The sequence below is a fragment of the Homo sapiens genome, chromosome 12 (genome assembly GCF_000001405.40).
Source record: "Homo sapiens chromosome 12, GRCh38.p14 Primary Assembly".
Lineage (NCBI taxonomy): Eukaryota > Metazoa > Chordata > Mammalia > Primates > Hominidae > Homo > Homo sapiens.
The window spans coordinates 101,814,220-101,839,701 of NC_000012.12; the positions used below are offsets into that span (position 1 = coordinate 101,814,220).

At 43.2% G+C, this 25,482-nt stretch overlaps 1 protein-coding gene and 1 pseudogene across 2 annotated transcripts in view, besides 2 other annotated features; one reads left to right on the plus strand and one right to left on the minus strand.

Annotated features, from left to right (window-relative positions):
- The window catches only part of GNPTAB (N-acetylglucosamine-1-phosphate transferase subunits alpha and beta), an 85,461-nt gene extending 68,721 nt beyond the window's left edge, over positions 1–16,740 (minus strand). For both annotated transcript variants that reach the window (NM_024312.5, XM_006719593.4), the window contains exon 1: positions 16,340–16,740. In NM_024312.5, coding sequence (NP_077288.2) covers positions 16,340–16,456 — 117 coding nt within the window. In that variant the 5' untranslated portion in view covers positions 16,457–16,740. The remainder of the gene's footprint in view (positions 1–16,339) is intronic.
- Positions 15,872–16,166: a silencer, noted in NCBI's record as "tiled region #5955; HepG2 Repressive non-DNase unmatched - State 1:Tss". NCBI's record gives its function as "represses a minimal TATA promoter and a strong SV40 promoter by Sharpr-MPRA in HepG2 cells {active_cell/tissue: HepG2}" and the evidence as "EXISTENCE:reporter gene assay evidence [ECO:0000049][PMID:27701403]".
- Positions 16,523–16,922: a silencer, noted in NCBI's record as "silent region_4771". NCBI's record gives its function as "represses an Ori minimal core promoter by ATAC-STARR-seq in GM12878 lymphoblastoid cells {active_cell/tissue: GM12878}" and the evidence as "EXISTENCE:reporter gene assay evidence [ECO:0000049][PMID:35858748]".
- RNA5SP369 (RNA, 5S ribosomal pseudogene 369) lies at positions 22,601–22,708 on the plus strand (annotated as a pseudogene).

A 25,482-nucleotide genomic window follows, 5' to 3' on the forward strand; every position in this document is an offset into this window, starting at 1 on the left:
ACACAGGAGGCAGAGGCTGCAGTGAGCTGACATTGAGCCATTGCACTCCAGCCTGGGCAACGAGACTAAAACCCTGTCTTGAAAAAAAAAAATTATTGAGAACTCCAAACAGCTTTGAAAAATGTATGTGGATTATGTTTATTCATATCTACTGTATTAAAATTAAAACTGAGGAAAAATTTAGGTGCTCATTTAGGCTGGACGCAGTGGCTCACGTCTGTTAATTCCCGCACTTTGGAAGCCGAGGCAGGCAGATCACTTGAGGTCAGAGGTTCGAGACCAGCCTGGCCAACATGGTGAAACCCTGTCTCTACTGAAAATACAAAAATTAGCCGGGTGTGGTGGCAGGTGCCTGTAATCCCAGCTACTCGTGAGGCTGAGCCAGGAGAATTGCTTGAACCTGGGAGGCGGAGGTTCTAGTGAGCCGGGACCATGTCACTGCACTCCAGCCTGGGCAACAGAGCAAGACTCCATCTCATAAATAAATAAATACTCATTTAAAAATAAATAAAGCCATTACAGATTAACATATTTCTCATAAATAATAACTATATTTTCAAAAATAAAAAAAGTGAGAAACGGTACTTTGTAATTTTTAAAAATCTCTTTAATGTCTATTTAATAGAAGACAATATCTGTTCTACATCAGTCTGTTGCAATGTCACATGTCCTGTAGGCCTCGAGAAAACTCCACTGTGCTCTCATGAGAGAATGTGAGTAAAAGGCAAATAATGTCCTAATATTATTACGAAACTAGGTTTGAACTTAAGGATAACTGAAAAATATCTTGGGGTCCCAGGAGTCCCCAAACTATACTTTGAAAACTGCTGGCAGCATCATAGCTTACTTATTTTTATTTTTTATTGAGACAGGGTCTCATTTCATTGACCAGGCTGGAATGCAGTGGCATGATCTCAGGCTCACTGCAACTTTTGCCTCCCAGGCTCAAGCAGTCCTCCCACCTCAGCCTCCCAAGTAGTTGTGACTACAGGGGCATGCCACTATGCTGGCTAATTTTGGATTTTGTAGAGATGGGGTTTCACCATGTTGCCTAGGCTGGTCTCCCACCTTGGCCTCCCAAAGTGCTGGGATTACAGGCATGAGCCACCATGCCCGGCCCATAACAGCTCACTGTTAAATGCTAGACTGTAAGTGATTTTGAAGAATTCTGATGTACCTTCTATATTATAAAGAAATAAAGAGACTTGTCCAAAGCCAAACAATAAGGCAGCAATAAACAATGTTAGCTGGGCATGGTGGTGTACACCCATAGTCCCAGCTACTCAGGGGGCTGATGTCAGAGCATTGCTTATGCCCAGGAATTTGAGGCTGCAGTCTGCTATGATCATGTCTGTGAATAGCCATTGCACTCCAGCCTGGACAACATAGCAAGACCCTGTTCCAAAAAAAAAAAAAAAGCCTCTCTCTAAAAACAAAGACACTTTACTTTCAGGTCTTTGTACAATTATAAAAATCAATATTCAGTGCTCACTGATTCTGCTCCCAAATAGGCAAAGCAATCCTGAAAGACTGCAAAAAGAACTAAGCTTGAGGCATCACACTACCTGACTTCAAAATATACCACAGAGCTATAGAAACTAAAACGGCATGGTGCTGGTATAAAACAGTCACAAAGATCAATGGAAGAGAATAGAGAATTCAGAAATAAATCCACAGATTTACAGCCAACTAATTTCTGACAAAAGTGCCAAGAACATACGATGGGGAAAGGACAGTCTCTTTAATACATGGTGCTGGGAAAAAGGATTTCCATATGCAGAAGAATGAAACTGGACCCCTACCTCTCACCACATACAAAACTCAATCAAAATGGATTAAAGACTTAAATCTAAGACCTGAAACTTGAAACTACTAGAAGAAAATAACTGGGGAAATTCAGGAAAATCATCTGGGCAGAGACTTACGGAGTAAGACCTAAAGAGAATACACAGCCAAAGATAAATGGACAAATGGGATTACATCAATCTAAAAAGCTTCTGCACAGCAAAGGAAACAATCAACAAAATGAAGAGACTACCTACAGAATGAGAAAAATTATTTGTAAACTATTCATTTGACAAGGGTTTAATAATCAGAATATATAAGGAACTCAAACAACTCAATGGCATAAAAAAACCCAAATAATCTGATTTTAATATTGGCAAAATATCAGAATAGACATTTCTCAAAAGAAGACACATGTAAGTGGCCATAGGTATATTTAAAAATGCTCAACATTACAAGTTATCAGGGAAATGTAATTAAAACCACAGTGAGACATCTCACCTTAGTCAAAGTGGCTATTATCAAAAAGACAGAAAATAAGAAATGCTAGCAAGGACTTGGCAAAAAGGCAATGCTTGTACTCTGTTAGTGGGAATGTAAATTAGTATAGCCACTATGGAAAACACTTTGAAGATTCCTCAAAAAACTAAAAATAGAACGACTATATGATCTAGCAATCCCACTACTGGGTATAAACCCAAAAGAAAGGAAATCCGTATAATGAAGAGCTATCTACACTCCCATGTTTATTTCAGCACTATTCACAATGGCCAAGATTTGGAGGCAAGCTAAGTGTCCATCAATGGATGAATGGATAAAGAAAATGGTTTATACACACAATGGGATATTATTCAGCCATAAATAAGAATAAAATCCTGTAATTTGCAGCGCATGGATGGAACCAGAGGACATGATGTGAAGTAAAATAAGCCAGGCACAGAAAAACAAATTGCATTCACATTTCTCACTCATATGTGGGAGCTAAAAAACTGATCTCATGGAGGTAGAGAATAGAATGGTGGTTGCCAGAGGATGGAAAGGGTAGTGGGGGCAGTGGGGATGAAGAGTGATTGGCTAATAGGTACAAAAATAGTTAGATAGTCCTGGTGTTCGACAGCACAAGAGGGCAACTGTAATTAACAATAATTTATTGTATATTTCAAAATAGCTAAAAGTGAAGATCTAGAATGTTCCCAACACAAAGAAATGATACATGGTTGAGATGATGGATATCCCCATTACCCAGATTTTATCATTCCACTTTTTTTTTTTTTTTTTTTTTTGAGACAGGGTCTCACTCTGTCACCCAGGGTGGAGCAGTGGCACAATCATGGCTCAATGTAGCCTCAATCTCCTGGGCTCCAGTGATCCTCCTACCTCAGCCTCCAGAGTAGCTGGGACTACAGGCACGTGCTACCACACCTAGCTAAGTTTTGTATTTTTTTGTAGAGATGGGGTTTTGTCATGTTGCCCAGGCTGGTCTTGAACACCTGAGTTCAAGCAACCCACCCACCTAAGCCTCTCAAAGTGCTGGGATTCAGGTGTGAGCCATTGCACCCAGCCTGATCATTACAGATTGTATGCATGTATAAAAATATCACATGTACTCCATAAATGTGCATAACTATTATATAGCCATAATAATTAAAAATTAAAGTAATTAATTTTTTAAATAGCTAGCCAAGGTGACACATGCCTACAATCCCAGCTATGGGGAGGCTGAGGTGGGAGGATCACTTGAGCCCAGGAGTTCAAGACCAGTCTGGGGAACATAGCGAGATCCTGTCTCAAAAAATAAAAATATCAAAAAAGCTTGTGGATTCTGAAGCATTATACTTGATGTGGGATTTTCACCCCGTCTCCTGTTGCCCGTTTTCCCCCACCTGCAATTCATCTTCCACATTACCTCCAGAGCAACTGTTCTAAGCACAGATTTTATTTCATCACTCTCTTCCTTAAAATCCTTTGATGGTCCCCATTTTCTTCAGGATGAATTCACATTCCTTAGTACCACCCAGCAGGCAAGTCCTAAACTGGCCCCTGCCTGCCTCTTCGGCTTCATTCCCCTGTCACTCCAAAGATGCTGCAGCCCTTTAGAACTACTTTTGTTCTTAGAAGTTAATAATGTCTCATATCCATACCTTTACACCAATGGCATCTTTTCCTTAAGAAACAAAACAAACAAAAACACTCCCCTTCCTTTACTCAGCCATCTCCTTCCAGACCAAGCTCAGGTATCACACCATCTGAGAAAGTGTGCTTGGCACTGCATTCATCACAACACATTTCAAGTTTGCCTACTTGCCTGTCCACCTCCCTGCCTGGACTATGAGTTCCTCCAGAGCAGAAAGCAACTTAAATATATTTGTGTCTTTTTTTTTTTTTTTTTTGGAGACAGAGTCTTACTCTGTTGCCCAGGCTGGAGTCCAGTAGCACGATCTCGGCTCACCACAACCTCCATCTCCCAGATTCAAGTGATTCTCCTGCCTCAGCCTCCCAAGTAGCTGGGATTACGGGCACCTGACACCACACCCGACTAATTTTTGTATTTTTAGTAGAGATGAGGTTTCACCATGTTGCCAGGCTGGTCTCAAACTCCTGACTTCAGGTGATCCACCCACCTCAGACTCCCAAAGTGTTGGGATTATAGGCCTGAGCCACCGTGCCCAGCCCTTTGTGTCTTTAGTCAACAGTAGACAACCTGGCTAATATAGTTTGCCTGTGTCCCCACCCAAATCTCATTTTGAATTGTAGCTCCCATAATCCCCATGTGTCATGGGAGGGACCTGATGGGAGGTAACCGAATCATGGGAGTAGGCTTTTCCCATGCTGTTCCTGTGATAGTGAGTAAGTCTCACAAGATCTGATGGTTTTATAAAGGGCAGTTCCTCTGCACATGCTCTCTTGCCTGCTGCCATGTAAGATGTGCCTTTGCTCCTCTTTCCCCTTTCACCATGATTGTAAGGCATCCCCAGCCATGTGGAACTGCAAGTACATTAAAACTCTTTTTCCTTTTTTTTTTTTGAGACAGAGTCTCGCTCTTGTCGCCCAGGCTGGAGTGCAATGACACGATCTTGGCTTACTGCAACCTCCACCTCCCAGGTTCAAGCAATTCTCCTGCCTCAGCCTCCCAAGTATCTGGGATTACAGGTGCCCGCCACCACACTTGGCAAATTTTTGTATTTTTGGTAGAGACAGGGTTTCACCATGTTCGCCAGGCTCGTCTTGAACTCCTGACCTGAGGTGATCCACCTGCCCCGGCCTCCCAAAGTGCTGGGATTACAGGCATGAGCCACCATGTCTGGCCTAAACCTCTTTTTCTTTATAAACTACCCAGTCTCGCGTATGTCTTCACAGCAGTATGAAAATGGACTAATACACTGGCCCAAAGTGAACACCTCCATAAGCCTGTCACATGAACAACTTCTGAAAATTTGCTTTAGAAGCTTTATCTAATTGGGAATTAATGAGAGACAGAAATGAAGTGAGAAAATGAAGGGGGGGAAAAAGGTTTATCAAAGGAAAAAGAAAAACTAGAATCCTAAAAAAATGAAGCAATTTTGAGAAGTAATCTTAAAGTGGGCAATATGGTTTTTAGTCTGATCATAGAATGAGTTTCACTCCCTGAATGAGTGTGACCTGACCTGGTCTTTCTGAAAGATCACTTTTTCCTGTGTAATTTAGTATGCATACGAATCACACATAGGCTGACTAATCAACTGCTGAAGATTCTGCATCTGTATCGCAAGATGAGAACAATCTAAAGAACAGCAGAAATTTTAAAAAGATATATCATGAATATATATAATCTATTATAGTTACACCTGTTATATTTTAGAAGGAACTATAGGAAGCCTACATATATTAGTATACAGTACAAGCTATATTAAATAAAGGACTTGCTCCCTCTGATTTCATAGCAATCATAACACAGCACACCAAGGTCAAGAAATCACTGTGAGTTCTCCTGTTCTGTATTTAAGGAAAGATTAAGAGGCATAAGCTCACAGGGTGGTCTCCTGTCCTTTCTTCATGAGCACTCTGGCCACATGGAAAACAATCCTGAGATGGGACAGTTGGCACTTAATTAGCTGAACGCCTAGGACCAGCCTCTACGCAAGATGTCTTACATACATTAGGCACCTCACTTAAACTACTCTTCCTAAGTTCAGTCACAATCAGCAACAAAAATAAATTTTGATGCTTATAAGTATTCATTCAACAAATATTCACTTAAGAACTACAAGTAGGGTCTGCGAGAGCAAATGAACTTGTCTATCTCGCTTACTTTTGTATCCCAAGATGTTGGTGGAGTGCCTAGCACATAATGGAACATAAGGACTGGAGGATTTTGCCTCTTAAGCCTCTTGAATCTGTCCATTTCTCTTCCTATGTCCTTCCACTGACCTAGTCCCAGGCCAGTCCTGTAGACTAACTGCCCTGCAGCCATTCTTGCCCCTTCTAATTCCGGATTTCTCAACTTCAGCACTATCGACATTTTGGGCTGGATGATTCTTTGTTGTAGGGGCTGTCCTGTGCACTATAGGATGTTTGGCAGGATCCCTGGCTTCTACCCACTAAATGCCAGTAGCATCAACCCCATGCCATGCCCCAGCTGTATCAACCAAAAATGTTTCTAGACATTTGGCAAAATCACACCTAGCTAAGAACCACTGTCCTAGAGCTGACTTGACCTCCTCTGTCCTCAGCCTCAGCAATTCTTACCCTCTACGGTTGAACTCAAACAGCATCAAGCAAGAAAGCATCTCCCAGCTGGGCACAGTGGCTCACACCTGTAATCCCAGCACTTTGGGAGGCCGAGGTGGGTGGATCACCTGAGGTCAGGAGTTCAAGACCAGCCTGGCCAACCAGTGAAACCCCATCTCTATTAAAAATTTAAAAAGTTGCTGGGCGTGGCAGTGCAAGCCTGTAATCCCAGCTACTCAGGAGGCCGAGGCAGGAGAATCACTTGAACCCAGGAGGTGGAGGTTGCAGTGAGCCAAGATAGTGGCCACTGCACTCCAGACTGGGCGGCAGAGTGAGACTCCGTCTCAAAAAAAAAAAAAAAAAAAAAAGCAAGCATCTCCTGATCCCCTGCCACCAGACCAAACTGATTCTCACTGCTGGTCTCTTCCACAACGATGCTCTATTTCTTTACAGCATTTCTCACAATAGTAATGAAGTGGCAGTTAATGTCTGACTGCACCACCAGAATATAAGCTCCTTGTCAGCAGGAGCCAAGTCTGCTTTGTTCACTGCTGGATCCCCAGGGGCCTGGTACAGTGCTCAAAAATTAAGTAGTCACTGAATGAATGAGGCAGGCACTCTGCCAGGGCACAGGGATTTGAAGATAAGGAAGATTCCATCTTTGTGACCAGGATGCTGAGCACAGAAATAGCAAATAAGTTTCATCTCCCAGGCAAGCTCAATTAACTGGTAACCAAATTGAGAAGCTGTGCATGTAAAAATAAGTTTCTTCTGAGGCAGCAAAATACAAGATACCACATTCCAAAGTGAAGTGTTGGGCCAAGATGCAAAGTTTCTTAAGGAACAGTTGCAGACTCATCCAAATCATGGTAGAAAGGTCCAGGAGGTGGCGATCAGAGGAGGTTTTCAGAGGTAGCTGGCATTCTGTGACGCCTGCTCCACCTCATTCAAGGGGGAGCAGTGGAAGTCTGTTTCCCACTTCCTTACGCCCAAGAAAAGGGCTCAACAAAATTACCAAGAGAACTCACTATGGGTCCATGAAGTTGGGTGGGTACCATGTCTGTGTAACACCTGAAAAATATAAAGTGCTGGCTGGCTAATTGCTCTGAGGACAAGAGAGAAGTTGTCACTCCGCTGGAATCAGCCCACCCTCCCCTAGTCTGAGCAAAGGACGTGGGCCACATACAACAAAGAACCAGCAGAAGGTCACCCTGGGCCTACTCACTGGGCAAAAGAGGCTGAAATGAGAAGCTCCCATTATTATCAGATTCTTAGGATCTATGGAAGGAATAAGCAACCAAACGGAATGAAGAGGCATTTGGTCTCATCAGGGGAAAAGCAGGTGACCACTCCTGAGCACGGCGGTGGCTGTGGTCTCTGAAGGATGCCCCTTGAAAACACTCAAGAAAGAATAAGCTCTGGCCGGGCGCGGTGGCTCACGCCTGTAATCCCAGCACTTTGGGAGGCCGAGGCGGGCGGATCACGAGGTCAGGAGATCAAGACCATCCTGGCTAACACGGTGAAACCCCGTCTCTACTAAAAATACAAAAAATTAGCCGGGTGAGGTGGCGGGAGCCTGTAGTCCCAGCTACTCGGGAGGCTGAGGCAGGAGAATGGCGTGAACCCCGGGGGGCGGAGCCTGCAGTGAGCCGAGATCGCGCCACTGCACTCCAACCTGGGCGACAGCGAGACTCCGTCTCAAAAAAAAGAAAGAAAGAAAGAAAGAATAAGCTCTAACACCTGCACAACATCCCAGAGAGCTCCTGCACTCATTCAGGAAGAAGTTTCCTGTCCTCATTTCCTTCCTTTCTTTCATGTGCTCCAACACAGGAGGGATCAGAAACAGGTTACAGAGCAGAAAGAGAATCATCAAGTGATGAAAAGTGAGAAGATGCCCACTGTGGCCACCCTCCCTTCCTCCACTGCAGGCTTTCTCCCTGCAGCAGGCCTGTACTGGGAGAAGGAACTTAGGCTTTAAGTTCTGTTATGCTTTAGGACTGAAGACTCTAATTGCTGAATTCACATTCTGTTCTGTAGTGTGAAGTGACCACAGAAATATCAGGCCCACCTGAATTTTCATCCAGGGGCAGGGGTGCAAGACAATACAAAGAGCCAGTGGAAGATAAAGAATAAAGGGATTGGCTACACATCCCACAAGGTGTGCTTATTCAACATGACAATTACAGCCAGCTGCCTACCCAGCATCACTTATCTATTCTTCTTCCATAAAGGAACCTACCCCTACATAACAAATATTTGGGAGACCAGTCCCGAGATTCAGAGGTAGGTCAGATTGGTCTAAAAGTAACCCCTTTCTCCTTTCAAGAGATTTGCTTAAGAATGGCTCTATAAGCATAACTGGGACCAATGCCAGGAAAGGACTGCTGAGGTCCTGGGTCAAGTTCTTCCTCCATCTTCTGACAGTCCTCTCAAAAGTTGGAGGAACACCAAACTGTTAGAGAAATTATTCTGAAACTATATCTGGGCTTAGGAACGGAAAAGTGCCATGATGAACAAGGCCGAGTCTTAGGAAGGCAGGGTGCCAGGTATGCGGTGTAGGCAGCTGGTAGGAAGTGTGGATCTAGAGCTTGTTGGAGAGGCAGCAGGCATGGTTAAGGCCAGGCGCAGTGGCTTATGTCTGTAATCCCAGCACTTTGGGAGGCCAAGACAGGCAAATTGCTTGAGGTCAGGAGTTTGAGACCAGCCTGGCTAACATGGTGTAACCCCGTCTCTACTAAAAATACAAAAATTAGCCAGGTGTTGTGGTGGGTGCCTGTAATCCCAGCTACTCGGGAGGCTGACACAAGAGAATCGCTTGAACCCAGGAGGTGCAGGTTGCAGTGAGCTGAGATTGCGCCACTGCACTCCAGCCTGGGAGACAGAACGAGACTCCGTCTCAAAAAAAAAAAAAAAAAAAAAGTCAGGTTAAGTTTTTCTCTCACAATGTGATAACATTCATTAACAAAATGAACAATATTTAGATCTCAAGAGAAAGACCAAATGCAATTATCAAATCACCATATAAGTTAAAGGTATATATTTGATCATCACTGAAAGATTTATAACGGCACACTTGAGCTGTGTTTAACAAAGCTCCATATTAATATATCCATGCAAGAAAACAAGTTTCCCAGATAGATTAATTAACCAGATATTAAAAATAGAAACAATCTACTTTACAACTTCTAGAGCAAGGTAAAGGGCTAACAGCTATCACAGACACAATGTCACCAGTAAAGCCAGGGAGAGGAAATGGGTTTTGACTGAAGCCAGTGTCTTCAAGACATCTGTTGTTCCGGCCCTTCTTTGGGTAACAGCCTTGTGATTATCTTCTGAAGCTCTCCTCTCAGTTCACGTGGTTCAGTTGAGACTGACAGCCCCACCCACTCCCCTATTTCTGGAGACGATCCCAGTGGTTAACAAGGGTATAACAAGGGCACTCATTCCTCTGGCTAGGCAGGCAGCCCTGGGTCTAGTTGGCACTAATGAGAAAGAAAAGCTATCTTTCTGCTGCAGTTACTGAACTGGTAGAACAGAAGGTGGGGTTGCCAGCAGCAATCCTTGTTCTCATATGAGGAGAGCTTGCTGAGAAGTAAACTAAAGAGGGGAAGGCAGAGGTGAGAAACAGGGACAAAAAGAGATTCCTGATGACATCATTTGAGCACCTCGATCCACTCCTGCCAGAAATTTCACCATATATATATATATATATATATATATATTTTCTTTTTTTTTTTTTTTTTTTTGGTTAACCTTTTTGTTTTGTTTTGTTTGAGACAGAGCCTCACTCTGTCGCCCAAGCTGGAGTGCAGTGGCACAATCTTGGCTCACTGCAACATCTGCCTCCAGGGTTCAAGCGATTCTCCTGCCTCAGCCTACCAAGTAGCTGGGACTACAGGCATGCACCACCACGCCCAGTTAATTTTTGTATTTTTTGTAGAGACAGGGTTTCACCATGTTGGCCAGGCTGCTTTCGAACTCGCCTTGGCCTCCCAAAGTGCTGGGATTACACACATGAGCCACCACACCTGGCCTCATCCTATATTTTTCAATTATCCCAGTTAACAAACTGGTTAATAATAAACTAGTTAATAAGCTAGGTCTGAGTTGGGAGTCTGTCACTTGCAACCTAGTGCTGTTAACTAATTCTAGCTGCAATGTTAAACCACTAGTAATTCAAAAAGAAAAAGCGATCACAAACTTCTCTGACATTACCAACTTTATGCTAAAATTACTCCCACCACTTCCTAAAATAATCTTTCCTTGTCTCTCTTCTGTTTAAACTCCTACTTGTCCATGAAGCCTCCCTAAAGCTCATGCCTCCTTGAAAAGGTGTCAGAACTGCCTCGAGGATGTTTCAACCCACAACATTCTTCTGTCTTCTGACTTTCTAAGCAATTGTTGTGTACTAACTCAGGCATTCAATTGCTTATTCCCCTGTGTTGTTATTCAGTCCTCATACATACATCTTGGCCTCATCTCAACTAAACAATAGCCAAAGGCATGAGCTATAATTATTTGTATCTCTGACAGCATTTTCCACTGTATATTCTGACGACAGCATCTTCCACTGTACAGTCTAACAACAGGTCTCAGATTTTTAGAGAAAGTTACCAGAGCAGGAATGACTCTCAGAGCATGAAAATGTTCAAGTTATATCAGATCAATCACATTTGAGAAATAAAAGGGAACTATAAACGCTACATCAGAGCAAAAAATTTACCTTTACTTGAAATAAATTTGAAAGGATGTCAGTTAAGATCAACCCAATTAATCAATCCATTCATTCATGCATCCATCAAGTATTTATTCAGCATCTACTGGGTACCAATCACTTTCTAGTGGCTAAGAATACAGCAGAGAATAAGACAAGGTCCCTACTTTGATAGTTAGCTGGACTATGTACCTCTCACAAACCCCCCAAAACAAAGAGACCCTTTAAAAAGGCTCTGTGTGGCCATTGGCATCTCTAGTATAAAATCCATTACAAGTCATGCTTCTCATGTGAAGTATCCAATAAATGTATATTCACAAAACATTAAAGCTAAAATGAGGCTCTTAGAAATATAGTCTCATAGTTTGTAAACATTTTTTAAACAATGAAACCTTTCCCAGAAAACAAGTCCACACGAAATAGATAAGAGGGGCTACTCCCAACCCACAAGGCAGCTGGGAGTAACTCAGTTTGGGAACCACTGAGGATCACAATTTGTGCTGCACCTAGGAGCAGGCCAGACGGTCCCCACTCTCAGGCCAGGCCTCTTTCTAACTCATCTGTTTGTTGCCTTTGGCCAAGAACACACTCAAATATATCTGTTTAATGAGTGAACTAATCAAATACAAAAATGATAACTAATTTCTTGAAATAAGGCCAGTATAAGACACTGGTCACCACTGAGGCTGAACATAACTTGAGCTAGACCCAGTTTTCAATTCTCCTTTTCACAGAAAATAACTCATTGATTCAAAATGGCAACAGAAAAGCAGGAAAGCAAAAGGGAGCAGAGAGGTCACGGAAAAATTACCATTCATTACGAGTAGATTCTATGTGAACCTATTTTGCTTCCTTATGCAAGTTAATTCTTGGATATTTGTTTCCATACTTAGTGCACAAAGGAAGTGATACGTTATACATACACCATACCCCCACACACAGATACACATACACATATACACACTGATCTACAACCCTCTATTAGTAATCCTGAAATCCAAAATGCTCTGAATACTGGAGGGGCTTTCAACTTTTTGTTTCTAATTTTTAATTTTTTTAATTTTATTTTTCTGATTTTTAATTTTTTTTTTTTTTCAAAACAGACCAGCCCTACCTAGAGATCTTTTTGTACCTTATTTGGCAACTAAACTTGACCTGCCCTGTACTTATTTGGTGGCAAAATGACTAAACTGACTTGAGGCTAGGTATAGTCTGTATTTTCCTGAGTGTGAAGAATTGTGGACTTGTATATAAATGGTTCGATTAAATAATGATGGCCCTGAAATAATAAATTTTAACTCAAAAACACGTTTTAAAATCTATACAGTAGCAACTAACAGAGAACAAATTATTTAAAAACCAGAAGTTTCTAAGCTAAAAAGGATCTTAAGAGCAGTCAATCTAGTAACACCATTTGTGGAGCTAACTAATTTACAATAGACTGATTACCTGCTACCTACAGTCCAAGGCAATGCATTTTTGTGACCACTAGTCCCCATTCTGAAGGCTCTCCCTGTGGGAGTTGTTTTTTTTTTTTTTTTTTTTTTTTTTTTGAGACCAGGTCTACCAGGCTGGAGTGCATGGCACAATCACAGGCACTGCACCTCAAACTCCTGGGCTCAAGCAACACTCCTGCCACAGCCTCCTGCCTCCTGAGCAGCTGGGACTACAGGCATGTGCCACCACACCTAGCTAACTTTTTTTATTTATGTATTTATTTTTGAGACAAGGTTTCACTCTGTCACCCAGGCTTAAGTGCAGTGGTGCAATCACGGCTCATGCAGCCTCAACCACCAGGGCTCAAGTGATCCTCCCACCCCAGTCTCCCAAGCAACTGGGACTACTCTACTTTTTTTGCAGAGATAGGGTTTCGCCATGTTGCCCAGGCTGGTCTCAAACTCCTGAGCTCAAGCAATTCTCCTGCCTCGGCCTGCCAAAGTGCTGGGATTACAGGTGTGAGCCACCACGCCCAGCCTTTATTTTTATTTTTTTTTGTAGAGACAGGGTCTCCTTTGTTTCCCAGGCTTGTCCAACTCCTGACTTCAAGCAATCCTCCAGCCTTAGTCTCCCAAAGTCCTGGGATTACAGGCATGAGCCACCTCACCCAGCTTGTTTTGTTTGATACTTCCTTCCCTCAATTCTACTTCTCGAAGTTTGGATGAATATAGAAAAGGCTTATCAAAATACAGCATCAAATACCTGTTATATTGAGAGGAGGAGACGATAACAAATTTACAGTTAACAATGATCTTCTGAGGGCCAGGCACAGTGGCTCGCACCTATAATCCCAGCATTTTGGGAGGCCAAGGCAGGCGGATCACCTAAGGTCCAGAGTTTGAGACCAGCCTGGCCAACATGGTGAAACCCTGTCTCTACTAAAAATACAAAAACTTAGTCTAGCGTGATGGCGGGTGCCTATAATCCCAGCTACTCCGGAGGGTGGGGCAGGGAAAATTACTTGAACCTGGAAGGTGGAGGTTGCAGTGAGCTGAGATCACCCCACTGCACTCCAGCGTGGGCAAGAGTGAGACTCTATCTCAAAACAAAACAAAAAAAACAATGATCTTCTTAGTCCAAAAGGACTTACAATTAGTGAGCTTACAATCCATTACAATTAGTGAGATTATTAACAAGTTGGTAATATTAACTATATGATCAAAGTATTCTGATTCAAGGATATATTTCAAAATAAGGTTTAAGGACATAAAAGAGTTGATAATATAATAGCAGCAGTAGCCATGACCATTTAATGAGGGTCTGTTATGTAGTAGGAACTGTGTGAGGTGCTTTACATACCCATCTTATTTAATCCTCATCAACCCTGCAAGGAAGGTAATCTGGCCTCCATTTCAAAGATAAGGAAGCTCAGAGAGGTTAAATATCCTTCCCAAGATCAGACAAGGAACAGCCTGGGCTGTTTGAGAAACCATAAAAAGGGGTGCTCAAGAGCACAGCTTAGGCTGGTCGTGGTGGCTCACGCCTGTAATCCCATGGGAGACCAAAGCAAGCGAATCATGAGGTCAGGAGTTCGAGACCAGTCTGGCCAACATAGTGAAACCCCATCTCTACTAAAAATACAAAAAATTAGCCAGGTGTGGTGGCACGCACCTGTAATCCCAGCTACTTGGGAGGCTGAGACATGAGAATCACGTGAACCCAGGAGGCGAGACATGAGAATCACGTGAACCCAGGAGGCAGAGGTTGCAGTGAGCCGAGATTGCGCCATTGCACTCCAGCTTGGGTGACAGTGTGAGACTCCATCTCAAAAAACAAACAAAAAAAAAAGCACAGCTCTGAGCCAGCCTGGCTTGGTTTGAAGCCCAGCTCTGCCACAAATTAGCTGGATTCTAATGCAAATGCATCCATTTCATCACCTATAAAATGGTTATAATAATAGCACCTATCCCACAGGGGTGATGTTGTGAGGATTAAATCAGTTAACATATGTAAAGCAATTAAGAGAGTGCCTGATACCTGTTAAGACCAATATAAGTATTAGCTATTATTATGATCATTATCAACTGGAGTCAGCAATCAAGGCCAAATCTGCCTAATCATGCAGCTCCTCTTTTCCATTATGCCTTACAAGTTAACCACAGGCCAGCTGCCTTCACCTCTCATGACACCTGTTGGCACTGTCTGCCTCTCATTTCTCTTGTCTGTTCCAAACCTTATGATCTGTGGCCATTTCAGGACTGCAACAAAATGTCTCTCTTTTGGTAAACAGCCAAGCATGGAATGAAAGCAAAAAGAAAAGGATATAAAATGAAAAATTCGGGCCAGGTGCGGTGGCTTACACCTGTAATCCCAACACTTTGGGAGGCCAAGGCAGGCAGATCACTTGAGGTCAGAAGTTTGAGACCAGCCTGGCCAACATAGTGAAACTCCATCTCTACTAAAAATACAAAAATTAGCTGTGCATGGTGGTACGCGCCTGTAGTCCCAGCTACTCAGGAGGCTGAGGTAGGAGAATTTCTTGAACCTGAGAGGTAGAGGTTGCAATGAGCCGAGATGGAGCCACTGCATTCCAGCCTGGGCAACAGAGCAAGACTCTGTCTCAAAAAAATAAAATAAAATGAAGAATTCTAACACCTGATGCCTTTAAGTCATCTTCACACTGCATGGGACTTAATAAACAGTTAACTCAAAATTAATCAAGGCCAAAAAAATCACACAAAAGCAATAAGGCACCTAACTACACACAGATACATTAAGTTGCAACACATGAAACAAAGACGAGCAAGTACTATAATATTAAGTACATATTTCACACTTACAAATCTGGAGCTTTCTCACCCTTATGGTAAGACATTTTTTCCCAGCCTCTAGAACCAAGAACTACTAAAAAAGTACATGCTCAGAATTCATGCCATATAATTTAGCCATTAAACAAACACTTGCACTGCATTCTCTGGCAGTACCTGGCACTGTGCTTGGGCCAGGGTTACAGTATTTACAGACAGCACCTTCTCTTACGGAGCTTACAATCCAGCATGGGTAAAGACTTCAAGCAAATGTATACTGTGGCATTTCTAAAAACTACTCTGTTAAATTTTAAAACCTTTTGTAACCTCCTACCAAAAAAAAAAAAAAAAAAGAAAAAGAAAAAAACTAAAACTAAGGAACAGATTTCAAACCACTTAAAAATACAGCTTTCCTCCCCGTTGCTAAAAGTGGCTTTCTTGGGCCAGGTGCGGTAGCTCATGCCTGTAACCCCAGCACTTTAGAAAGCCAAGAAGGGAGGATCACTTGAGCCCAGGACTTCCAGACCAACCTGGGCAACATAGGGAGACCTCCGTCTCTATTTTTAAAAAACGGTGGGCGAGGGAGCAATATCTAAAATCACATACATGCCTTTTTCCAGTTCTGACTTGCTCATAGTCTCTGCACACGTTTATGATAAAGAATACTGTATTTGGCCGGGAGCGGTGGCTCACGCCTGTAATCCCAGCACTCGGGGACGCCGAGACAGGGCGATCGCCTGAGCTCAGGAGTTCGAGACCAGCCTGGGCAACATGGCAAAACCCCGTCTCTAATAATGAAAAAATACATACTGTATCGGGGCATCGCGGGGCACGGCGAGGGCAGTGCAGGGTCGAGGCGCCCGGTCCAGGCTGCGGCGCCGCTACTCACCTCTCCGAACTGGAAGGCGGAGACGATGGTGACAACGACGCCCAAGAAGCACACGTAGAGCCCATACCTGTGGGACAGGCAGGTATAGGTCTGTCTCTGCAGGAGCTTGAACAGCATCACCCCTTCACCGCCACGCCACGCCCCGAGGAGCCTGAGCCGCCGCCGCCGCCGCCGCCGCCTCAGCGAGCCGCCATTCAGGGGCCCCGGTCGGGCCGCCGCGCGCAGGTCACAGCCTCCGGGCGCCGCTCATTGCAGCTCCGGCGACGGACGCCCGCTCGGCTCCGCGCCGCGGCCGCCGCTTCCGGGAGCCGGGAGCCCACGCCCTCGGCGCGGCGGAGGCGGACCTGCGGCCGGCGAGGCGGCCGGCGCCGCCCGGGTCTGGCCGGGCGAGAGGCGGCTGCGGCGGCGGCGGGGTCTCCAGCGCCACCTGGAGGACGGAGGGGCATAGGGAAGGTGCGCGCCCTCCCCACCTGCGCTTGCGCAGCGGGCCCTGAGGGCTGGGCTGGGAGGGGCGGAGCTGAGCTGGGATCCACTTACCCGGTTGGGCAGGCGACCAAGAGAAAACTGCCCCCTGCGTCGAGACTGTGCCATAGACGGTACTATAATGCCATGAATATTTTTGTGCATAAAACCTTCTCTGCACTTAGCATTCTCTGCAGAGTGCTAAAAGGAGATGCTGTATGTGGCTCCTTTCCTCCAACCCCCAACTATATTGTTTGAAAGAGGAAACCTTTGGGTTAAATCTGCCAAAACCGAATTTCGTTCATTCATTTAGTCGTTAAATATGTAATTTGTGCCTGTTAGGTGGCATAGTGCTTGGTGTCAGGTATTCAAAAATGAACTAGACCTGGCTACTGTTCTCAGAGAGTCTAGTGGGGGAGATAAACATGTAAACCACTAAATACAAGAGTTGTTATGATAGAAATCATGCGATGAACTGGAGGGGAACCAGCTCAGGGGTGGCCAGGTAATCCGACTTTGACAGCAGGTTTTTCCCACGAGATCCTTTCCTTGGTGCCTCTGATTTACGAAAGGGAGATCTTTTTCTTAATCCCAATGCACCCTAGTCAATAAGATTTTTTTCCTAGTCACCCTGGGAAACAATACACTTATCTAATGTTGCCATCATTCAAAGCATTTTTAAAAATATCTTGGGAACCAGCTTCAGGAAATACTCAAATTCGCACCCTCAGTTTGATGGTCAGGTGGAATTAACAGACTTGCAAAAGGGGTTAGCTTCACTCCAATCCAAGGCAAGATTTTTTACACTTTGCAGTCACTTCTTTTAATCCTTCTTTTAAAAAAGATGATTGATATATGCTATATGTACATGGCAAAAGATTATTGCAGTTGTACAAGACACATATAGTTCTGAGGTCTTTTCAAGCATGATAACAGATCTGAGGACTTAATCAGAAGGGGTAAAAAAGCATGGTAACAGATATAAAAACATCTGCCACTCAACAGGACTCTCAGGATAATGGCCAACATTTATGTAGCATCTGCCATGTGCCCAGCTCATCTAATCCTCACAATAATCTTATAATGGAGATACCATTATTATCCCCATTCTACAGATCAAGAAACTGTGATGAAAAAAAGTAACTATCTAACATCACACAAATAGTAAATGACAGAATTGAGATTTGAACCAGGTACTTAGGCTGTAGAACAGGGCCAAGATTAGGGGAAGGTACTGTGAAATGAGTCATGCAAGTTTGGAGTGAGATTCTGTCTTTGTTTATAGTTTTGATATCGGGGCTGGGTGTGGTGGCTCATGCATGTAATCCCAATACTTTGGGAGGTCAATGTGGGAGGATAGCTTGAGCCCAGGAGTCTGGGAGCCCAGAAGTTTGAGACCAGCCTGGGTAACAGACCCTGTTCCTATTAAAATAAAAAAAAAATTTAAAACGTAAAATAAAACATAAAGTTTGGGTGTTTTGCTTTTCATGGATATTCTTCAGTAATGTTTTTTGTTTTTTTTGTTTTTTGGGTTTTTTTTTTTTTTTTGAGACAGAGTCTTGCTCTGTTGCCCAGGCTGGGTTGCAGTGGCGTGATCTCAGCTCACTGCAACATCCGCCTCCTGGCTTCAAGCAATTCTCCTGACTCAGCCTCCTGAGTAGCTGGGATTACAGGCACATGCCACCACCCCCGGCTAATTTTTGCATTTTTAGTAGAGATGGGGTTTCAGCATCTTGGTCAGGCTGGTCTTGAACTCCTGACCTCAAGTGATTCACCTGCCTTGACCTCCCAAAGTGCTAGGATTACAAGCATGAGCCACTGCGCCCAACCATTAATTTTGATTTTTTAAAAATATTGCATTAGGCTGGGCACGGTGGCTCACGCCTATAATCCCAGCACTTTGGGAGGCTGAGGCGAGTGGATCACCTGAGGTCAGGAGTCTGAGACCAGCCTGACCAACATGGAGAAACCCCATCTCTACTAAAAATACAAAATTAGCAGGGCATGGTGGCACATGCCTGTAATCCCAGCTACTCAGGAAGCTGAGGCAGGAGAATCACTTGAACCCGGGAGGCAGAGGTTGCGGTCAGCCGAGATCGTGCCATTGCACTCCAGCCTGGGCAACAAGAGTGAAACTCCATCTAATAAAAAAAAAAAAAAAAATATATATATATAGCATTAAAATATTATTCCTCTTGATTAGTGAGTTTTTTGGAGTTCCCTCGGATTTTCCACCCAAGACAAGTGCTTCACTGTCCTCACTTTAGTCCTAGCCTTGCCTAGAACCTGTCCTTCTTAAAAAGTATGCTTTGTTGTAGTATGAATTACCCTTAAATTTTTCCTTTATCTTTAGGCTCCAACTAGACAGCCTCAAGGGAGGTCAGGAGCATTGTCTAAGTCCTTTCTTCTAGAGAACTTGCTCTTGTTCACTCCCTTTTCCCCCTCCTCAGGCAGTATGGTTGAACTTAAATAAAATAAATGTGGGTGCAATATGATATACCTGTAGTAGCTACCTTATACAGTTAGGAGGGTTATGTAAAATAACACATGAAAATGCTCAAGTGCCTGCGACATTTTTAGTGTTGGAAAAATTTAAGAAAATTAACATTTAGCCTTGTTCTGAAAGCAATGAGGTTTTCAGCAGGAGAATTAACTGATTAAATATGCACTTCAAGAACATTAGTAGTATGTAAATGCATAAGTTGTGGAAATTATTTTTTTAAATTTTTTGTAGAGACAGGGTCTCACTATGTTGCCCAGGCTGGTGTTGAACTTCTGGGCTCAAGCAATCCTCCCACTTTGGCCTCCCAACATGCTGGGAGCCACCTCACCTGGCCTGGAAATGATTTTAAACTCTCCACATCTGAACAGTGGAAAAAATATGCAGTAGCATCCCATTTATCTGGAAATATTTTATCTGGCAACCTAAAAGAGCCAGAAAAGCCAAAAGATCAAAAAGGATTCCCAGGAACCCAGTGAAACCCCTGAGTTTTGCTTTTAGAAGAACCCCACAGTCCCTCTCAAAATCTGATAAATATAATTCCGAGAAACTGTCATCTGGGTTCTCAGTCTATAGCAGATAAATAAATAAATAAAGAGGTCCCTTTCCTGCCTTTCTCCCAAACATGAAGTAACTAGAGAAAAAAATGATGTAGAAAATATTTTTTAAAAAAGTCAAATGAATTCCAAAAATGTAATCATCTTCACATCAATGATGTAGATATCTGTAAGAGCAGAGAGATAGAGTGAAGGCAACAGTACCTCCAAGTACAGTCAGTAGGCTAATATGGCATATAGTGGTGAGCTCAATCTATGAGAAAAGTTTAAGTAATGGTTAGTGTTTATTCAGCATTTGTGAATGAATGCTTTGTGCTGGGCATTTTATTGGACATTGAGTCTATCTCGTAATGACTTAGGTACCCCAATACTTGGGTACCAAGAAAGACATGGTCCCTGCTTTTGTGGGATTTACACTCTGGAGGGGCATATATATATTGGATTAGTATTGTGAGGGGCACTAACCTAGCCTGGGAGGTCAGGGATGGCTTCCTGGAGGAGGTGATACTAAAGATTGAGCTGGAGGACTCAAGATGTGGGGTGGGAAGGGAACTATGTTCCAGGCAAGGCTGGCCACATGGAAGGCCTAATCTAAGGCAAGAAGGGCTGGAGATGCAATGAAATGGAACTAGAGAGTCTGGCAGGATCTTAAAGGCCATAGCAAGAATGAAAGACCTTATCCTAAAGACAATGAAGAATTTTAATAAAGTCTAACAAATGACACAATCAGATAATGAATTTCAAGAGTTATCATAACTGTGGCGTGGAAAATGTATTGGAGGGGGCCTGAGGAGTTGAAATGAGACCAGTGATAGTAGAGTTGCCAGATAAAATACCCAGTTAAATGTGAATTTCAGATAAGCAGCCACATACATTTAGCATAAGCAAATCCCATGCAATACTTAAAAAGCTTTATTTACTTGAAATTCACATATAACTGTGTGTCCTGTATTTTTTATTTTATTTTATTTTTTTGAGATGGAGTTTCGCTCTTACTGCCCAGGCCAGATTGCAATGACGTGATCTTGGCTCACTGTAACCTCTGCCTTTTGGGTTCAAGTGATTCTCATGCCTCAGCCTCCTGAGTAGCTCGTATTACAGGTGCCCACCACCACACTCAGCTAATTTTTTGTATTTTTAGTAGAGACAGGGTTTCACCATGTTGGCCAGGCTGGTCTTGAACTCCTGACCTCAGGTGATCCACCCGCCTCAGCCTCCTAAAGTGTTGGGATTACAGACGTGAGCCACCGTGCCCAGCTGTGTCCTGTATTTTTATTTGCTGCAGATGTTCTGAGCCACTCTTGACCAGGCATGGGAATTCCTGTCCCTTGGCCCAAGCCAGTGCCTAGAAAGTGTATCTGAGTCAGGGATGAAGTATTAGCCTATATATCCCCTTGTCCATAGATGTAAAACAACATTCTGCAGTTAATTTCATTAATATTAAAGCTGATCCTCATCTGCCTGTATCTTGCATGATCTTCTCAATTGGTTCAAAACTCAGGAGACAATGAGAATGTTTTTATGTATTGGACCCTAAAACATTTACCATCTTTGAGTCTCCCTTTGCTTAGCCAGGGTGAAAACTGAACATCCAAAGAAAACAATCTTGCTCAATCAGGGACCTCTTGTCCCAGGCCTACACATATTTTGTGTATAGAAATAGTGTGCTTCAAAAGCCTCACTGTGAGGTCATAAGAAAATTAAAGAGCTTTCAGTAGCTGATTAAAGTTAAAATACCTCCTGTTAAGTGTATATTTAATTAAGTCCTTCCTTTATTAATGATAAGAAGATAAAATGTTCATGTTGTAAATGCTTTCCTTTTAAGCTCTAGGCTTGAAAATCTTGCTTGTTCCCAGGAAACACATTTTGATTTTATTCCCTCCCTTAGTGTATATTCATAGACATGTAAGTTGTAAGTCATCCTATTCCTTTCTTTAGTCTAAGAAAGCCAGACAGCCATAAAAAAGAATGAAATTATGTCCTTTGCAGCAACATGAATGGAGCTGGGTGCTATTATCCTAAGTGAACTAACTCAGAAACAGAAAATCAAATGCTGCATGTTCTCATTTATAAGTGGGAGCTAAACAACGGGTACACATGGGCATAAAAATGGCAATATTAATAATTAAAACCAGGGACTCCAAAAAAGGTGACAGTTGGGGGGTGATGAGATTTGAAAAATTACCTGTCAGGTACAGTGTTCACTATTTGGGTAATGGGTACACTAGAAGCTCAATCTTTACTAGTATTCAGTATACCCATTTAACAAACATGCATGTGTATCCCTTCAATCTGGAATAAAATTAAATACATTTTAAAAAGAAAGTGAGGATGGCTTTTAATTTTTGCAAACTAGTGCAAACAAAATTATTAAGTAATTTAACTGTTTCTGATAGAATTTCCTTTTCTTTTTTTTTTTTTTCTTTTTTTTTTTGAGATGGAGTCTCACTCTGATGCCCAGGCAGGAGTGCTTTGGCATGGTCTCTGCTCATTGCAACCTCCGCCTCCTTGGTTCAAGTGACTCTCCTGCCTCAGCTTCCCAAGTGTCTGGGATTACAAGCACCTGCCACCATGCCTGGCTAATTTTTGTATTTTTAGTAGAAATGGGGTTTCACCATGTTGGCCAGGCTGGTCTCAAACTTCTGGCTTCAGGTAATCCGCCTGCCTCGGCCTCCCAAAGTGCTGGGATTACAGGCATGAGCCACCGCAGCCAGCCTCTGACAGAATTTCAAGAGCCAAATCTATGGCCATACCACCCTGAAGGCGCCCAATTTCATCTGATCTCCTTAAAGCTAAGCAGGTTTGGGCCTGGTTAGTACTTGGATGGAAGAATTTCAAGAGCCAAAACATAACATGGCTCACTGTTAACTTTTTTGTGAGTTCAAACACATCACATATATATAAAATACCTAATTTTCACATAAATGTAACCATACTTTGTCCTTTTTTTTTTTTTTTTTTTTTTTTTGAGATGAAGCCTCGCCCTGTTACCCAGGCTGGAGTGCAATGGCACAATCTTGGCTCACTGCAACCTCTACCTCCCACGTTCAAGCAATTCTCCTGCCTCAGCCTCCCAAGTAGCTGAGATTACAGGAATGTGCCACCACGCCCAGTTAATTTAGTATTTTTAGTAGAAATGGGGTTTTACCATGTTAGCCAGGCTGGTCTCAAACTCTCGACCTCAGATGATCCGCCCACCTTGGCCTCCCAAAATCCTAGGATTACAGGCATAAGCCACCGCACCAGGCCCAACCATACTTTATTCTGTTTATGTGATATTTACTTGTGGGTTTTTTTGTACATTTCATCCACTGGAATATAAGCAACATAAAGGCAAGAGACTTACCCATCTTATCCAGAAATGTATCCCTAATCTTAGCATTGTGTCTTGCCAATAGAAACTAATTGATAAAAATTTATTACATGAATTAATATATTTTGCACTGATAAAAGTACCAACCATTGGCTGAGGTGGCTCACACCTGTAATGCCTGCACTTTGGTAGGCCAAGGAGGGTGGATCACTTGAGCCCAGGAGTTCGAAACCAGCCTGGCCAACATGGCGAAACCACATTTCTACTAAAAATACAAAAATTAGCCAGGTGTGATGGTGTATGCTTGTAATCTCAGCTATGTGGGAGACTGAAGCAGGAGAATTGCTTGAGCCTGGGAGGCAGAGATTGCAGCGAGCCGAGATTGCGCCACTGCACTCCAGCCTGGGCGACAGAGAGGGACTCTGTTTCAAAAAAAAAAAAGTTCCAATCACAGAGTTGTATAAAGTTTTGATGAATTGAATTACAGTGTGTTATTAAAGGATATAGAGAATAACCCTATGTTTTGAGGTAGAGCTCATTTGGAAAACTTTCTAGCTTGGGATCATTTTTATATAGTGGAATATACTAATGTCAACTTGGTTTTAAAACCTCTGTTATTTCTATCATTATTGACTCTGGTTGTTTGTTTGCTTCATTTTGTCTACTACTTCTTTGTATCTTTTCTCCCTTTGCCTAAATAACCTTTTCTTTTTTTAGAGACAGGGTCTCTCTGTCACCCTGGCTGGAGTGCAGTGATACCATCTTGGCTTACTGCAGCCTCGACCTCCTGGGCTCAAGCGATCCTCCCACTGCAGCCCCTGGAGTAGCTGGGATTACAGGTGTGCACCAATATGCCTGGCTAATTTTTGTATTTTTTGTAGAGATGGGTTTTCGCCATGTTGTCCAGGCTGGTCTTGAACTCCTGAGCTCAGGCAATCCACCCATCTCGGCCTCCCAGAGTGCTGGGATTACAGGCATGAGCCATTGTGCCCAGCCTAAATAATCTTTTCAAAAACCAGCTTCTGCCAGGCACGGTGGCTCACAATGGAATCTGGAAAAGAAGGCTGGCCCAGTAGTCCCAGAACCTTGGGACACCAAGGCAGGAGGATTGCTTGAGGTCATGAGTTCAAGACCAGCCTGGGAAATATATCGAGATGCCCTGTCTCTACTAAAAATACAAAAAATGTGCTGGGCATGGTGGTGTGCGCCTGTAGTCCCAGCTACTCAGGAGGCTGAGGCGGAAGAATCACCTGAACCTGGGAGGCAGAGGTTGCAGTGAGCTGAGATTGCACCACTGCATTCCAGCCTGGGCAACAGAGTGAGACTCCGTCTCCAAAAAAAAAAAAAAAAAAGACAAAAAAAAAAAAAAAACACACCAAACAGACAAAAAAAAAACCCAGCTTCCTGTTTGGGTCATTCTCTCTAATGTTCTGTGGTTTTCTATTCATTGATTTGTGTCTCTGTCTTGGTAATTTTCCCCCCTTATTCTGTTTGCTCTGTTGCTCTGTTGCTCTTGAACTCATTTTTCAAATTTAATATTTAGCTCAATTTTTTCAATTTTATGGTTTTTTAATAAATGTTTTCCAAAGCATAAATGTCCCTCTAATTACTAATTTTATTGCATCCCATCAATATTGGCACAGAATGCAGGTGCACAATTGGGAGTTGGGGCACTGCAGTGGGTGTCAGGCCTGGGCACACAATGTACCCATCAGGAGGACCAAGGCAAGGAGGTCACCAGGCCTAGGCCAGGGTGGCAAGGTTCTGAGATACTGTGATCTCTGGATACGCATGGCTGCTGCAGAGCACAGCTGATGTCCTCCCATACTGGTACCCTAACCCACCATGTGGCAGGAAGAAGAAAACACAAAAACCAAACAATGAAATCTAGAAAAGAAGAGTGGCCCAGTGGCTCATGCCAGTAGTCCCAGAACCTTGGAACACCAAGGCAGGAGGATTGCTTGAGGTCATGAGTTCAAGACCAGCCTGGGAAACATATTGAGATCCCCATCTCTACAAAAACTTTTTAAAGAAAGAAATTAGCCAGGCATTGTGGCCCGTGCCTGTAGTACCAGCTACTCAGTACTCAGGAGGCTGAGGCAGGAGAGTTTCCTGAGCCCAAGAGTTTGAGGCTGCAGTGAGCTGTGATTGTACCACTGCTCTCCAGCCTGGGTGACAGAGCAAGATCCTGTGGAAAAAAAAAACAAACAAACAAACAATAACAACAACAAAACAAACAAACAAAAAACCCAGGAACAATGCCTCATGCCTGTAATCCCAGCACACTTTGGGAGGCCAAGGTGGGAGGATC